The sequence below is a fragment of the Homo sapiens genome, chromosome X (assembly GCF_000001405.40).
Source record: "Homo sapiens chromosome X, GRCh38.p14 Primary Assembly".
Classification (NCBI taxonomy): domain Eukaryota; kingdom Metazoa; phylum Chordata; class Mammalia; order Primates; family Hominidae; genus Homo; species Homo sapiens.
Window position 1 is genome coordinate 111,292,573 of NC_000023.11, and position 16,877 is coordinate 111,309,449.

The 16,877-nt window shown below is 38.9% G+C and overlaps 1 protein-coding gene across 11 annotated transcripts in view; it reads right to left on the minus strand.

The window, feature by feature from the left end:
• DCX (doublecortin) overlaps nucleotides 1,207–16,877 on the minus strand; it is a 118,414-nt gene continuing 102,743 nt past the window's right edge. For all 11 annotated transcript variants that reach the window (NM_001369373.1, NM_178153.3, NM_001369372.1 and 8 more), the window contains one exon: nucleotides 1,207–9,171. In NM_001369373.1, the coding sequence (NP_001356302.1) occupies nucleotides 9,143–9,171 (29 nt within the window). In that variant the 3' untranslated portion in view covers nucleotides 1,207–9,142. The remainder of the gene's footprint in view (nucleotides 9,172–16,877) is intronic.

Genomic DNA, 16,877 nt, shown 5'->3' on the forward strand with positions numbered 1-16,877 from the left:
ATAAAAACTGTCAGCAAGAGGCCTAGCCAGTCTGATTGTTGTATCCAACTTTTCTTTGGATTAGAAACACCAAGAAGTCCCATTTCCATCTACTTTCTTTGTCTCCACCAGAGTGATGGTCATGGAGCCAGGTGGTAAAATACTGCTTAGATGAAGAATTCATAATCATCTTGGTCCTTGGGAGTGCCTAGGGGAAGCTGGCATCGTTGCTTCTCTGAACACGGGTCAGCTGGGAGCTGCAGAGTTGGCCTCACATAACTGTGATGTTGGTCAAACTGTTTCCTAGAATCTCAGCCTCCTGTGTTTGTTTGTTTGTTTGTTTGTTTGTTTTGAGATGGAGTCTCGCTCTGTCACCCAGGCTGGAGGGCAGTGGCACCGTCTCGGCTCACTGCAACCTCCGCCTCCCAGGTTCAAGTGATTCTCCTGCTTCAGCCTCCCAAGTAGCTGGGATTACAGGTGTGCACCACCACACCCAGCTAATTTTGGTATTTTTAGTAGAGACGGGGTTTCACCATGATGGCCAGGCTGGTCTCGAACTCCTGACCTCAGGTGATCTGCTCGCCTTGGCCTCCCAAAGTGCTGGGATTACAGGTGTGAGCCACCATGCCTGGCCTCAGCCTCCTGTTTTCTACGTCCTTTTCTCTTTCCCTCTCCATCAACCTCTTCCCAAGCCCAGTGCTTTGTGTTCTTTATCCCATTAAAACCTGATCTGAGAAAACTATGTCATCAGTCATTTACGTCTGAGGGTAAATAAGATATCTCCGTGTTTCCTCTCACAGAGAGTAGCTGCACCATCAGCCTATTGAAGAAGAATAGCCACACTGTAAAAGAAATTGCAAGCAGCAGGTAGAGGTATTTTGGGGGGCATGGAGTGTTTCTTGGGCTTCTGAAAACATGGTACTAGAAGTCACCACCTGATGACACAGGCTGACATTGGCCAAAGCATCTTATGCATAAAAGGAGGTCACTTTATTCCTGCTCAACTCTGGGGGGAGATCTGAGATCTTATTTTTTGTAAATGTGCTGTACCAATAATTATGGTGTTTCTATCATACATTTACTCTCAGCTTCTTCTTCTATAAAATTAAGAGGTTGGAAAAAATAATATCTAAGTTCCCTGCCAGCTTGGACATTTTGAGGTTATATGATTATTGGTTCAGTGTTTTTTGTTTTTGTTTTTGTTTTTAAAAGAATGTCAGCCAGAAATATTGAAATCAAATTTTATTTTTGGAAAATGACATTACACACATCTTGCAAATGTACACAGAAATGAGAATGCGATGAAGAACAGAGCTTGAGAGCCAAAATAATTGCAAGAGCAGCTCTTTGGCTGCCTGGTATTGAATGCTGCGAATCTTCAGCACTCACAGTTCACAGCACCTTACACACATGGCAAACTTCTCTAGACAACCTTGAAGTCCTCTGACCCAAGAAAGCCCTCATTGAATTGCGGAGGGGGTGGGGGAAGAGGGGTGTTACAGGCACAGGAGATGAAAAGGGTCTGCTCCAGCTGGTTTATGGGGGCCTCACCAAACCTACCAGTCCAAGTGGGGTCAGCAAACCAAAAAAGGAGAATGCCTCTTGAAATACTGCTTTTGAATCACAATTTCAGAGTAGGTTAGGTATTGCCTAGGACACTGATAGTAATGCATTTGAACTCATGCCCTTGTTTTTTTTTCTGGCTATAACTATTCTAAATAGGTGGCTAAAGTTCTTAAATATCTGTTTTATTTCTCTCATTTTTTCTTTTTTTTTCAAATAATTATTGGTCATCGGTCAAGCAGAGTCTTCTGAGGTCTCTATCTTAAAACAGCTGCAGGGATAAGGGACATCACTACCTACTGTCTTTGGATTACATGTGATTCTGAAAACTATTCAATCCTGAAATGTAATCAAATGGCCAAATACAACCCCAATTTACCACTGATTTTTACGTAAAGTTGAGTCTTTGATCACAATGCTGTTCCTTAAGAAATGATCAATAACTGCTGAGAGATGGTTGAGAAATGCCTTTTCCCCACATTTTGGTTTGTTTGTTGTTTGCTGACTTTACTTGGCAAGAGTTATTGGGCCTCAAATCAGATATTTACAACTGTAAGACAACTGGGAGCAGGGAGAGGGAGAGGGCAAGGGGGTGGGAAGAAGGACTACAAAGAAGAATATATTCTTTTCAGAGGTTAAAACGAGTTAAGAAATGTGATGTACAATACCATGCATTTACTCTCCAAAGCTAGTCACTAGCAAGCTAACACCTCTAACACTACAACCACCAATTACAGCTGTTTTGCTACAGGTACTCAATTCTAACTACAGCTATAGGGCAGAAAGGGTGGGCTGTTTCCATTTTAAACTTTCTCCCTTTGAAAATGGCCATAAAAACATTTTCTGTACAAGTTTAATGGCACAAAAAGGTGATCAAAAACATTTTAAAGAACTTACCACACGTGGGAAATGCAAAATTCAATAAAACATGCATTAGTTGTATACAAGTCATAAGGGATCATTGGCTTCAAGCTGCAATATATTACAGGACCATACATTGGAGACATTTTGGCATAACCTCTTACTTGTTCAAATCCCTTTTGGATAACTTATAAAGAAAAGTCATTGTAAATTTTGGCATTCCATATGGTATTGCCAAGCAGTGACATTTCCAAGGGCTTTGCACTCTGTTTAATAAATTAACACCTACAATCTGGCTTCTTTAGGTCCACTAATTTCTCTTATATGGACTGTCTATTCAGTATCATGAACAGTTGGTGTCAAGAGTAAATGTTTAGGTGACTCAGAAGGAAAAAATACATGTCAATTAAGCAAATGTCTCTTTTTATAGTATAGATTTGTTAAATTATCTTTTCATTTAAATCAACTCCGATTGCCTACCAGTTTAGTTAAAACAGCTCAACAGTTAGCAAGCCCCAAACAAGATTATTATAGAGAGTTTAATGTGTAATGGTAAAACTTTAAGCAATTACTCCCCCACCCCCATCCAGCCAAAACAAATGACAGGAGAAATTACCTGTGGTCCCTCATTATATTATATTGCAGCTTTAAAAATTATGGGCACATCAAACAAAATCAATTATTAGTATTTAGCTGATATAAATCCATGGGTGGATTTTTTCTCTTCAGCTGATTATGTCTCTGAGCACGCTTCACTGCTCCACAAAATGTCAGACTAAAAAGGAACCACAAAGTATTCTGTACAGTGCTTGGAAGGCAAAGACCTAAAGATACATGAGCTATAAGGAAACTGCTTGTAAAGATCTGCTGAGGGGGATTACGAATGAAAATGGAGAAGAAGAAAGGGCCAGGATCAGGTTGATTCCCACCAACATACTTCTGATTGGACTGGGGTAGGACCAGGGCTGATTGAATCTGGAAATAATTTATCATCAGTCCCAAGGCAAAATCACAGGCTAAGAAGAGGCACATGCCCAATGCCTAGACAGGGAGGAAGGAAAAAGTACAAATAAAGATAATAAGAGGGAGAGACAGAATTGCACAGGAGAAAGGATGGATGTTTGTACTGTGGAAAGAGAGACTGATAACATAGAATATAAACTGAGAACAGAGGAAACTAGACAGAGAAAGAAAAGTCAAAGAGATACACAAGAGGTAGAGCGGCAAAAAGCCATTGATTCCCTCAGGTTATTGACCTAGTAATGAGAAACGCTAATGCCTTCAAGTCTTTGCCTTACTTACAAGGTGACTTCTGTTGTGCCATCTGACCTCTCCCAACTAACCTGCCCTTCTGATCAGGAGCAGAAAGATGCCTTAATTACCAATTGGAATTCTATACTCCCCTAGTCTCAGGCATCCAAGGTAAGAAAAAATCACCTCTGATTCCAGAAGATGTTGAAGCCAATAAACCAAGGGATAAAAAATTAGTCTTGTCAGCTGGGCATGGTGGCTCATGCCTGTAATCCCAGCACTTTGGGAGGCCGAGGTGGGCAGATAATTTGAGGCCAAGAGTTCAAGACCAGTCTGGCCAACATGGTGAAACCCCATCTCTACTAAAAATAATAATAATAAAAAAATAGCCAGATTTGGTGGCGCACGCCTGTAATCCCAGCTACTCGGGAGACTGAGGCAGGAGAATCGCTTCGACCTGGGAGGTGAAGGGTGAAGGTTGCAGCGAGCCAAGATTGTGCCACTGCACTCCAGCCTAGGTGACAGAGGGAGACTCAGTCAAAAAAAAAAAAAAAAAAAAGTTAGTCTTGTCAAATGATAGCCAATGTCACGCTAGCTAAGCCAAAGCGGGAGGTCTGCATAGATCCTTAACAAGGAAACAAGGCAGGACGCAACACTAAGAGTCTGGGTGTATAAAGACCATACTAGACTTTTGGAGACAAAAACAATTTCTGGGGACCAGGCTTTAGGAGAAAGGGAGGGAAGGCACCTTTTCCTGAAGGGATAGATGGGGCAACATTCTCATGCCTCACCCCAGATGAGCTCCAAAACACTTATGGTTCACTTGGGAGACCAGTCTGGGACTTAAAGCCAAAGCCCTTCAGTGAAGGCAATATATGAGTAAGGCCTGGAAATGGATCCAAGTGGCCCTATGTGGCCAAAGACAGGTTCCAATCATCTTTTTAAAAAATCAATGCCTTTTATTTCCATAGCAAACTGGACAACCATAAAAGAAGTCGTTCAAACCACTGTCCCAGTGTTTCTATCTGGGGAAGTCTCTTGGCACAGACGTTTCTGAGGTGGGGTGATCTTTGGGATCATTCCCATCAGTGTCCTGGAGCTCATTTTGGGGATATAGGCATCCTGTTCTCTTGTCCTAGGGATATGGATTTTTAAAAAATAAAAGCCATTTAGAATCAAATGTGCAGGGTGATTGGGAGCATTGTACCCAGAGTATTGAAGGGATTAGGAACACAGACAAAATTTTGTTCAAGGTAAGCACCAATCACTGGTCTAAGACTTGGACTAGAGGATTCAAAGAAGAATCTCAGGGTTCCTTGCCTTCTTCAAATAGCTACACATCCACTTTCAGGTTCCTTGGTTACTTGTGACTGTGGAGGAGAAGGAGGAAGGAGAGAGAAGTACCTGAGGAGTGGGGTAAGCCCAGAAGGAGGTCTCTTAGAACTGAACTAATAAATACCCCCTTAGTTCCCAGGAAGAGCCTTGCAGCAAGGAAAACCATGTGTTTGGACCCTTTTGCCCTGGTTTCTGCTGTGGAAGGCCACAGGAGCAGTGTACACAAGACGATGGGAAGAGTGTATAGAGCACACAGCTTGCTATTTTGGTGCAAACACAGGAGCCAATGTTTAACATCAGCCAGGGTACATTTTTGTCACAAAGCCCCTTGCTTATACCTGGAAATTGTCCTCATCAGAGCAGGATGGCTTTGGGGACATTGTGGATGAGGGCAACCACAGTGAGACCAGGTTATTTTCTCTAGCTCATCTTACTCCCATATTCTAAAAGAAATCATTGCCAGTGAATGGTAGCCACACTAGTTTTTTTAAAATGTTGAAAAGCCATCTCAGAAAGTTAGGATGAACAAAGCTATTGTTCCACTCTTTCTTTTTCTACTCTGGAAACAAGAAACATTTCCCTCAGCCTGGAAAGACCAACCATTATGAGATGACACAAGGTGAACTGATGGAGAAAATCAATCTTCCTCCATTCCATTTGGGCAAGGCAAGCATTCAGTGGGGGGCTATTCAGAGGGCTCCTCACGATGGAGCAGTGATCTCCTGAATCAGATGGACAAGGCCAGGGACCCCATTGCTCCTATTGGCCCTCAATGCCTCACTCTCTTCAAGGACATCTGCAACCCATGTGGATGGGAACCAGGTGAATGCAGGGAAAAGGGGCTGTATTAGGTTGCTGGGTGGATTTCCCACTGAGATCAGGGCAGCAGCATGTGGCTCCAAGATGCAACATGACCCTGAGAAATAACTCTCAGGAGCCTAATGGAAGGCAATACTACTTAGTGGGAAAAGGCCCTGGAATAAGAGCCAGGAGATGTGGGTTGTAAACCCAATCCTGCCCCAGCCAGCTGTGTGACCTTGGGGAAATTACTTTACCTCTGTGTCTCGGTTTCCTGGCCTGAAGAATGAGAAATTTGGAGTAGAGGAGTAGATGATGTGATCTTAAGGTTCCTTCCAGCTAGAAAACGCTATAATTCAATCTAGGCTAATACTAAAGTCCATAAGGACACAAAGCAGTCATGCTAATGGCTATCCTTTCCAAAACAGTGAAGAGAAAAGGAGCTTTTCTCTCAATTTACCCCTAGTTAATACTACTTATGAAGTTAGTTGTTCAGCCCAGCCCCAATATATACATTTTCCCCTTCTTTGTCCCTATTTCTATTTCTGTAGGGAAGAAAAATCAGGAGGTAGGAACAAGCAAGAGATGGATTGTGTGTGTGTGTGTGTGTGTGTGTGTAAGAAGGAGGGAGAAGTATAGGGAGTGGTGGCAAATGCTTGCTGACTTGATGTTTGTTGACCGTGCAGAAATTAACACAATGGAACTTGAGTGCTAAAATTGGATTGGGTAAAATTGGAAGTGAATGACAGGGGTGGAGGAGCTCAGTTACAGACACACAAAAAAAATTGCCTTGAAAGTGGGCCAATTTAAAATGCAATTAATTATTGGAGACTTAAATTTTGGACTATGCCAAGCCTCATCCCCTGCTCCCTCCAAAATGGCCATAAAGAAACATTTCCTTATACTCGATTAAAAGTAAGATGGAAGATGTACTATTGTTATTGAAGATTGTTGGTTCAAAGGTTATCCTAAAGAAAATATATCCATTTGGTATTTTCTAGTAGTACATATACCGCAATCAAGGAAATACTCAGAGAGCTAGTGTGAGGCCCAAGCATAAGGAAATCTGGATTCTTCCTCTGGTCCTGCTCTTTACCAGCCTCCACTTCCTCAACTTAAAATAAAGGTGATGGACTAAATGAGACCTAAAGTGAGACTATGGGTGGAGTCATTGGGGGTTCTGGCCTGAAGTTTAAAATCAGGCCTCCCACCATTCTTTATGCCCACACCCCCTAATCCAAGTATCACTTTTTCCCAATTAACTACAAAATGTTCTGGGAGGCACTAAGAAAACCCTGAGCTTCTAGAAAGAAATAGGGGCTTAGTAAAATGGGCTTATTAATGGTTTTGAATGGGTCTACAAAAAAAGGAGAGGGGGCAAAAAGAGATCCTCATCATTTGGGGTTCTTCAATTTCACCAGAAACCAGTACTACCATCATCTCACTTTTCCTGAACCGAAAATGTTTCTGGTAGCTACAGACATCTGAAGCTTGTCTAGGGGCATCTGAGCTACCCCACCACCACTGGGTTCCCCCCTACACAGTGCACATCAGCAGTGCCACCCAGTTGCCACCAATCCATTACAGGGGTGTCCTGTAGTATTTCCTAATTTTGAAGCAGCTGCAGATGCACACACACACACACACATGCACCACCCCCTCCCACCACCACCACACACACACACAGCAAGCTCATTCCATTTAGAGTGGAGGAACAACTGCAAGCCATTCAGTAGCCAAACAGCAGCTTGGCTTCGAATGCTGTGCCTTTCAAAATATCTGCACAATTACAAAGAAATAAGGAAATCTTCATATCTGCTAAAAGCAAACACAGAATTGGCATGCATGACCTTCACTTAAATTTAGTTGTCTTTGCCATTATGGGCTATGATTACAGAAAAAAAAAAGCAGTGTTATAAACCTGTATCTCAAAAGACTGAAAACTATTTCAAATGATCAGTCCTTAGTAAAGAGAAATCCTTTCTAATGTTAAAGACAAGTGAAAGATTTCTGTGTCTTCAGTATGAAATATTAGGATTATAGATAAAAAGAGTTGCTTAAAATATGCTGTAACATTTCATTTAAAATATAATTAGAATGTCTGGTCCACATTGAAATTATTAATGCAAGCATAACTGTTAAAAAGCTATCAAAAAACTGATTCTATTGAATTGGCCTCTGCTATTCATCTTGTTTTCTCCTGGAGGTTACTGTTTGGCAGTGACAGCATAATTTCTAAACTACATTATTCTTCTGCTTTTTTTTTTTTTTTTGGTAAATTTTCTTCATGTGTTTTTTAGACAAAAGAAAAATCACCAGTTTATAAAAAAGGAGCCTGAAGAGTTTGCTCCTGAAATACAGACATGAATTTTTATAAAAAGGATATTGATTTCTTGCTATAAAAAGAGACTGAAAGGTGTCAGACCTGAAAACAAATTCTCACAGTGTTTTCAGTGTTGGCTGTTAACAAGGCATTCAATAGAACAGAGATAGATGGATACCATACAGTTCATGTAATCATGTGGTATGTTAGACAGCCTTCTAGAGGAATCAGGTATATGAAGTCCCTTACTCCAAACTATTATCAATTGCTTATTGATTCCAAATTGCCTCAGTGGAGAGATTGACCAGGAATTCACTGTGCTTTATAAACTCTTCGGAAATGTCTGCAGTATTTTCCAATTCTGTCTATTCTCTTAGCTAACCCAGCACCAGGATCCTAAGCATCTGGTGTCACAATTATAAGTTGTTGGTTTATTTCTCCCCATTGACAGCCAGAATTGGTGCTGGACAACAAACCCGGGCCTCAATCAGGAGTGAAGAGTGAGGCTGGGGAGCTGCCTTGCTGTCCTTCCAGGGTCCTCCACCATTCTTGAGATCCAGAGAAAAGGGGCACTTGTGTTTGTCATTCTTGGATCTGCCAATGAGTTTTTTTTTTCCCACACAAACATTTTAAGTGCTGTATATGTAAACAGCCCTCTACAGAAGGAAGACTGTATGGGCAAAATTAGACAGGGCAAATATAACGCAGGCACCTAAGCTTTCCATTGAAAGGTCATGGACTAGCACATTTTGCATCCCTGGAATGCTGCCCCAAAGGATGGTTATCAATCTATCTCTCATAATTGGTAACTGTGGATCAGTGGCCCAGAGGAGAAATCACAGGAAAATAAACCCAACATATTACAATGTGTTTTTCAAAATAACAACAACAACAAAATAAAAACTTGAAAGCACCAATAGCCCTGTTGGACACTTGAGCAGAAGTACCCTACTACAATGATAGGCTTGGATTTGTACTCTGGACTCTGAGCACTCTCCCCTCCTTTACATGGAATCACCAAGCGAGTCCGAGTCATCCAAGGACAGAGGCAGGTACAGGTCCTATAAGAAGAGAAGAGACAAAGTTAATTTTCCTTTTCTTGATATCTTGAGCTCTGGAATGTCTGCTTTAGTTTTTTTTATTAATACTTTAATTTTTACAACATAATAATTATAGATTCACAGGAAGTTGAAAAAATGTACAGGGAGGTACCCTTGTACCAATGTACCCTTCATTCAATTTTCCCTAATGGTACCATCTTGCAGTTTAACATGTGATCATTTGTGTGTGGGGTGTGTATGTGTGTGTGTGTATATTCCTATGCAATTTTATCATGTGTGTATATTTGTGTGACCATCGCCACAGTCAAGATACAGAACTGTACCTTCAACACAAGGCTCCCTTGTGCTACCCCATTAGAGCTCCATCCAACCCTCCCCTCTTCCCTGAGCCCTGGCAACAAATAATCTGTTTCCTGTCTCTGTAATTTTGGAATTTCAACAATGTTATATGAATGAAACCATACAGTATATAACCATTTGGGATTGGCCATTTTCATTCAGCATAATTCCCCGGAGACTCATGTAAGCCATTATATGTATCAATAGTTTGCTTCTTTATATTGCTGGTGTAGATGCACCACAGTTTGTTTAGCCATTCACCTGTTGAAGCACACGTTGAATGATTCAAGTTTTGGGCTATTGCAAATAAAGCTGCCATAAACGCTCCTGTACTGTACAAGTTTTTGTGTGATCATACATTTTCATTTCTCTGGGACAGACACCCAGGAGTAAAATTGCTGAGTCATATGGTAATTCCATTTTCAGTTTTGTAAGGAATGCCATATTGCTTTCCAGTGTGGCTATACCATTTACAGTCTCACCTCCTGCCAGCAAAGTATTAGTAGTTTGGTTTCTCCACATTCTCTCCAGTATTTGATGTTTTTATTATTTTTCATTTTAGCCATTCTTGTGGATTTGTAGTGACATCTCATTGTGGTTATAATTTGCATTACCATGATGGCTAATGATGTTTAACATCTTTTCATGTGCTTAGTTTTCATCTGTATTTCTTCCTCAATTAAATGTTTCTTCATGATTTTATTCATTTCTGAATTAGATTTTTTTCTTACTGGTAAGTTTTAACAGTTATTTTATATTCTCTAAATAAGCCTTTAATTAGATATTGGGTTGCAAATATTTTCTCCCAGTCTGTATCTTGTCTTTTTACACACCTTCACAGCTTTTGCATGGTCTTTGGCAGAGCAAACATTTTTAATTTTTGAGATCCAATTTACCCAATTTATCAGTTTTTATTTTATGGATTTTACTTTTGTTGTCAAGTCTAAGAATTCTTTGCTTATAATCCATTTTTAATTTTTGCATATGATATGAGGTCTAGGTTAAGAAACTTTTTTTTTTTTTTTGACAGAGTCCCTCTCTGTCACCCAGGCTGGAGTGCAGTGGTGTGATCTCCACTCACTGCAACCTCCGCCTCCTGGGCTCAAGTGATTCTCCTACCTCAGCCTCCCGAGTAGCTGGGATTACAGGCGCCCACCACCACGCCTGGCTAATTTTTTATACATGTTATCAGTAAGATACCAAAGAGAACTGGAAAGTATAGAATCAATTCTGTGGCCACTTAAGAGCACCCCCACCCCCACCGCCTTGCCACTGCTTTTGTATCATAAGGACAAGAACTTCAGTAGAAGATTGTTCAAGAAAATTGGAGAACATAGCTTCTCCTTGAGGTAGAGAAAAAAGTGGAAATGAGAAAGAGGGACAAGAGTGGGGAGGAGAAGGACTTATTTATTTAACATTGGGAATTTATCTAACATTGAAAATGCTTTTTGCTGAGAAAGAAGTGACAGGAAAACCTGTAGGCACCTTAGAATGGAAAGACGAGTAAAGCATATTCAGAAACCCGAGGTTTAACTCTGGCTAATTAATGCTATGACATTGAACAAATCTTTGAGTATTGGTTTCTTTATCAGTGAACAATCTGTAAGGTTTCTTCCAGCTCTGAGACTATAATTTGGGGGTCCTAAAGGGATATTGAATGATTAAGAAACAAAACAAAGGCAACTACAGCAAATAGACTCAGTTCTCGTCAACCTACCATCCCTTCACTGTAAGTCAGGGATTAGCAAAATTTTCTGTAAAAGATTAGATAGTAAATATTTTAAGTTTTCTTTGCTGGTCACATATGGTCTCTGTCACACATTCTTCATTATTTGTTTGGGGTTTGCTCTTTTACAACTCTTTAAATATTTAAAAAAACATATTTTAGATGGGGTGGGTCATCCATGCAAATATAACCAAGACACAGGCAGGATCTGGCATCCCTGTTCTAAACTACCAAACAAAAGTTTCTTAGAAAACTGATAAACAGGTAGGATGTACAATGCCAAGGAAATACTAGAAATGCAACAAATACATGTAAAATGGAATTGAAGCAAAGTGGCATACAATGGAGTTGCATCTCTGAAGGGATTAATTCTGAAGTACTGGAGTAAAGTGAACATAGTCAAAAGTATTTTTGAGCTCTGGACTTCCAGAAAGGTGGCATAAGCCCCTCTGAAAATCTGTTCCTCAACAAATGCAGTAACACTGGCAAAACTGTCAAAATTAACTTTTTCAGGACTCTAAAAATCAACCAAAAGCTTGCAACAATCCAAACAGTGTTGAAGAAAAACTGATGAATCTTGTAAAAATACTAAGATTTTTGGTGTTTCAACTTGCCTTATTTCCATTTTTCCTCTCCCCAGCTCCATGGTAGCCTTGAAAACCAACAGTCACAACTACTGTACCGGTGAAAAACAGCAATCTAGTAGTTACTGGAGGACACAATTGGGGGTTTGGAGCTCCCCAAAGAACTCATTCCCAGAGAATTGTCAATCTTTGACCTGTGGGGTAGCTCCCTGGAAACTCCCATTTGCTAGGTTCTTCTTTTTTTAACCTGACTCAGAGCACACTCGCTGTGAACAGCCTTTTCAGGGGGCATTGATCAGTTGCAATTGTTTAAAAATCACAGCCGTATGAGGAAGAGGGCAAAAGTTGGAGCAAATCAAGCTGCTGAAAACCTTGAAAGGAAAAAGTCATAGAATTATGTGCCTATAAGGATCTTTGAAAAGCTCAGACATATTCCTGGGAATCTAGAAGGTCAGGCACAAGTTCAGGACTGGGTATATTCTTAGAAAAGAAGCGAGATGGCCCTAATCTTTCCCCATTGACTGACCCTGAGGCCCTGTGCAAGCGGCAAGAGAATGCTAAGATGGAGTTGTAAACTGCCTGGCAGAGCATTGAAATCATGTCCCAACACAGGAACAGAGCCCCTCGGCAAAGGCTGGGAGTCTTACTGGATCAAGGCATTTAAGGTAAGCAAACAAAACTATCCTATTCATTCAAAATTATCATCACAAATAAAGGAGAAATTAAAACATTCCCTGATAGAAACACAGAATCCATTGCTAGCAGACCTGTCTTGCAAAAGAATACTAAAGAGAATCATCCACAGAGAAATTAAAGGACACTAGAAAGTAATTCAAATCCACATAATTAAAAAAAATAGTAAATGCGTAAGTAAACACAAAAGACTGTACAAATTTATTTTTGTAACTCTTTTCTTCTTTTTTAAAAATAAATTTTACTGTGTATATTTGAAGTTTGCAACATAATGTTATGGGATACATATAGATAGTAAAATAGTTACTATAGTGAAACAAATAATTACTTTTTTGCTGACAAGAGCAGCTAAAATCTACTTACTCCCTAATACAATTTTATTACCTATAGTCCTCATATTTTATATTAGATCTCTAGATGTTCATCCTACATATCTGTTATTTTGTATCCTGTAACCTACATCTCCTCATTTCTTCCCTTTCTATCCCCGGCTTCTGGTAACCTCTGTGTTATTCTCCATCTCTGTATATTTGACCTTTTTTTTTTTTTTTTAGATCCCTCATATATGTGAGATTATACAATATTTTTCTTTCTGTGTCTGGCTTATTTCAAAAGACAACTACATGAACTAGATGAACTAGTAATTATAAGAATGTGTTGATGGACTTACTATGTATAAAGATGTAATTTGTATGTCAGTAGGAGAAAAAAGGAGTGGGAAAGAAACAGAGCTATGCTATGGCAAAATTTTTATATATAATTTAAATCAAGTTTGTATTAATCTTAAGTAGAGTGTATTAAAATGTAAATTGTAATCCTCAGGGCAACCACTAAAAAAGCTACTCAAAATGAAATTAGTAAAAATACAACAAGTGAATTAAAATAGTGCACTAAGAAATATATTTAACACATAAAAGGCAAGCATCAAGTAATGAACGAAAAATGATATAACATATATAGAAAATCGCAAAATGGTAGATGTAATTCTCGCTTTACCAGTAATTACATTAAACATAAGTAGATAAAGCAATCCAATTAAAGGCAGAGACTGGCAAAATAGATTTTTTAAAAACATGATCCAACTCAATGCTGTCTAAAAGAGAAACAATTTAGATTCAAACCCACAAATATGTTGAAAGTAAAATGATGGAAAAAGATTTGCCATGCAATCAGTAACTAAAGAGAGCTAAAATTGCTATACTGATGTCAGAAAAAAAATAGACTTTAAGACAAAAATTATTACTAGAGACAAAGAACATTTTATAATGATAAAAAGAGTCAATATATCCAGAAAACATAAATACAAATATTTATATATCTTAACAGAGTACCAAAATACATGAAGCAAAAACTGATGGAATTGAAAGGAGAAACAAACAATTCAACTATATTAGGTGAAGACTTAAATATCCCACTTTCAATAATGGATAGAACAACTAGACAGAAGACCAACAAGTAAATAGAGGACTTGAATAATACTATAAACAAATACACATCTATGGAATATTCTATCCAACGAGAGCAGAATACATATTCTTTTCAAGCTCCCATGGAACATCCTCCAGGATAGATCATATGCTAGGCCATAAAACAATTCTCAATAAATTTAGAGGGATTTAAATGATACAAATTATATTATTTGGCCACAGTGGAATTAAATTAGAAACAATAATGGAAAGATATTCAGGAAATTCATATATATGTTGAAATTAAACAACGCACAGATGACTAACCAAAAAAGAAATCACAGGAAAAATCACAAAATACCTTGAGATAAAGGAAAATGAAATCACAACACACCAAAACTTATAGGATTCAGCTAAAGCAGTTTTCAGAGGGAAATGTATATGAAATGTTTCAAATATGCTATCCCATAGAAACAGAATTGATTAGTGGTTGGTTGCCAGGGGTTGGATGAAAAGGGAAGGGGCTGCGACTGCTAATGGGTAAGGGGTTTATTTTGAGGGTGATGAATATGTCCTAAAAGTAGATAGTGGTATACTAAATTACCTTAAAAACCACCAAACTATACCCTTTAAAAGGAGTGAATTCTATACTATGTGAATTATATCTCAATAAGCTGTTATTTTTTTAAGTACCTTTGAAAATCCTTTATATTGACAATTAAGTACTGTTTATGTGATTTCTGAATATGCAGCCGTACACAGCAATATGCTGTACATATATTAATATATATGATATATACATATATATATACACGTGTATATATATGATATATACCATATATACACGTGTATATATATGTATGTAGTGATATTCAGGATGTAATGATGTGTACAAATGTAAGAGAAGGTTTTATAGTTGTTCGCTCTATTACTATGTTATGACTATTGATGAATTCCATTAAGTTAAACTTGCATATGATGAAACAACACTGTAATATAAAAAGCACAGGACTAAGAGTCTGGAGACTTAGATTCTAGGCCTACATTTTCCATTTAACTTCCCTTTTCAGGGTCCTTGCTTCTAGATCTTAAAATTGAGGAAGATCTTTAAGGTTCCTTCTAGTTCCAAAATTCTATAAACTGCAATCATTCTATCTTTTTCTTTAGTTACCCCAAAGCAAGAGAAATGGTACAGACATTGCCAAGTTAATGAACTCCCTGGGTATTTTTCAGGCCGTACAAAAGGACCTTTTAATAATATGGAGGCCACTTTGAGTCCCAGCACACTGAACCACTGGGCTTTAGTATTATTCATGTAACAGACCCTTCAGTGGAGTTGCTTGGTTGGTGGAAAAAATTATCTGAGAAGATTGTTCCAGACCTTTATCTCAGAGGAAGCAGGGATAAGGCCTGAGGGTAGAATCCTGAAGAGATTTCACTTGTAGCTGCTGTGAGACTCTGAATTAATGGCGTGAGATGCAGAAGATGGAGAGAATTCATAGAACTAGGCCTAATTATGAACTTCTGAACACTGTATCTCCATCAATTTATTTCGTATTCAGAATGTATTTTCCTGTATGGGTAGAACAATGTTCAGGAAAAGGAATTATCTCAACATTCTGTTTTTGTTGATTGATATGTAGAAATACAGAAACACACATATTGCTTAGCAATACAAATAATTTGCACCTGAAATTCATTTGCTTATTCCCTTGGAGCCCTACAGAACAAAATGTTTGTAACAAATACAGCTGTGCTGGCGATACTATTGTATTAGAGAAAACAAAAAGTTGGTCTCTGGTCCAAGGAGCTTATAGTCCAAAGGAAGTCAGGGAGGAGTTTTGAGAAACCTGGCTTCTAGTTTGGGTTTTCTATTTCCCAAACGTGCCCTGTGCTTTTATGATGGTGTGGTTTTGTTTCTTGCTAATTTTTTTTTAAAGCTGGCATGCCTGTTCTCTTCACCAGCCACTTAAATGTCACCTCTGTGAAAAGCTTTCCCCATCTCCCACTCTCTCCCGTCTTTCCCACCCTCCTTTGTGCTCATGCAGTCCTTTCGTTAGCTCTTGATCACACTACCCAAAGCCACTTATATTAGAGTTAGTTGCCTTCTGTGATTTAAGGGTCAGGACCCTACTTTACTCATCAAAGGGCCTCTCCAAGCACGTATAAGAGGACAAAAGAAGTCTGGAAACAGAGGAAAGTGCATATTTAAATAATGTTATTTATATTTTCAAATAATATGTTGAATATACTTTCCTCTAGTCTCTAGACAACTTTGCATACAAAATGCCTCTAAATTTCAAGCCATTGGTGCAATCACTGATCTGAAAATTTAAAAATTAAATAAATGAAAGAGTTTCCTTACGTTTCTAGATTTTTTTTTTTTTTGAAAATCTTTACTATGTACTTTCTTCAAAGGGGATCCTTAATAAATTTTTGTTGAATCACACTGGGACTGTCTTTCCTCTGTACCTCTTTTTTTCTCATCTGTAAAAGGGAAATGCTATCTGCCCTGTCTCTTTCACGGGGATATCACAAGGGTAAATGATAAAATGGCTGTGCGATAGAAAAAAGCAGTATGAAAATGCAAAATGTTGTTCTCATTAACTATCCAAGGATTTACTTCGTGTCCATATTGTAACACTTAAGTATGCGGACTTTGGCTAACCCCATTGCAGCTGCATTAAAGAAGATTCTCCATGAACTGCTTAAAAGAAGAAGCCAAGAAGCTGATTACAGCTTAGGGCCCCACCACAGCCATCAAAAATTACCAAAGGGATGCTGGGACTTCAAGTTTTTTCCAGTTGTGCAGGAGGAAAGTCATGGCCTCAGCCATCTGCTTCCTGTCTGCATCATGACTCACATCTTTCAGGTCCACTTGGACAGAAGTTCAGATGAGATCTGCTCAGGCCTGCTGCCCAGAGACTTGATGGTGCTAAGGTTCAGGTAGCTGTGTGA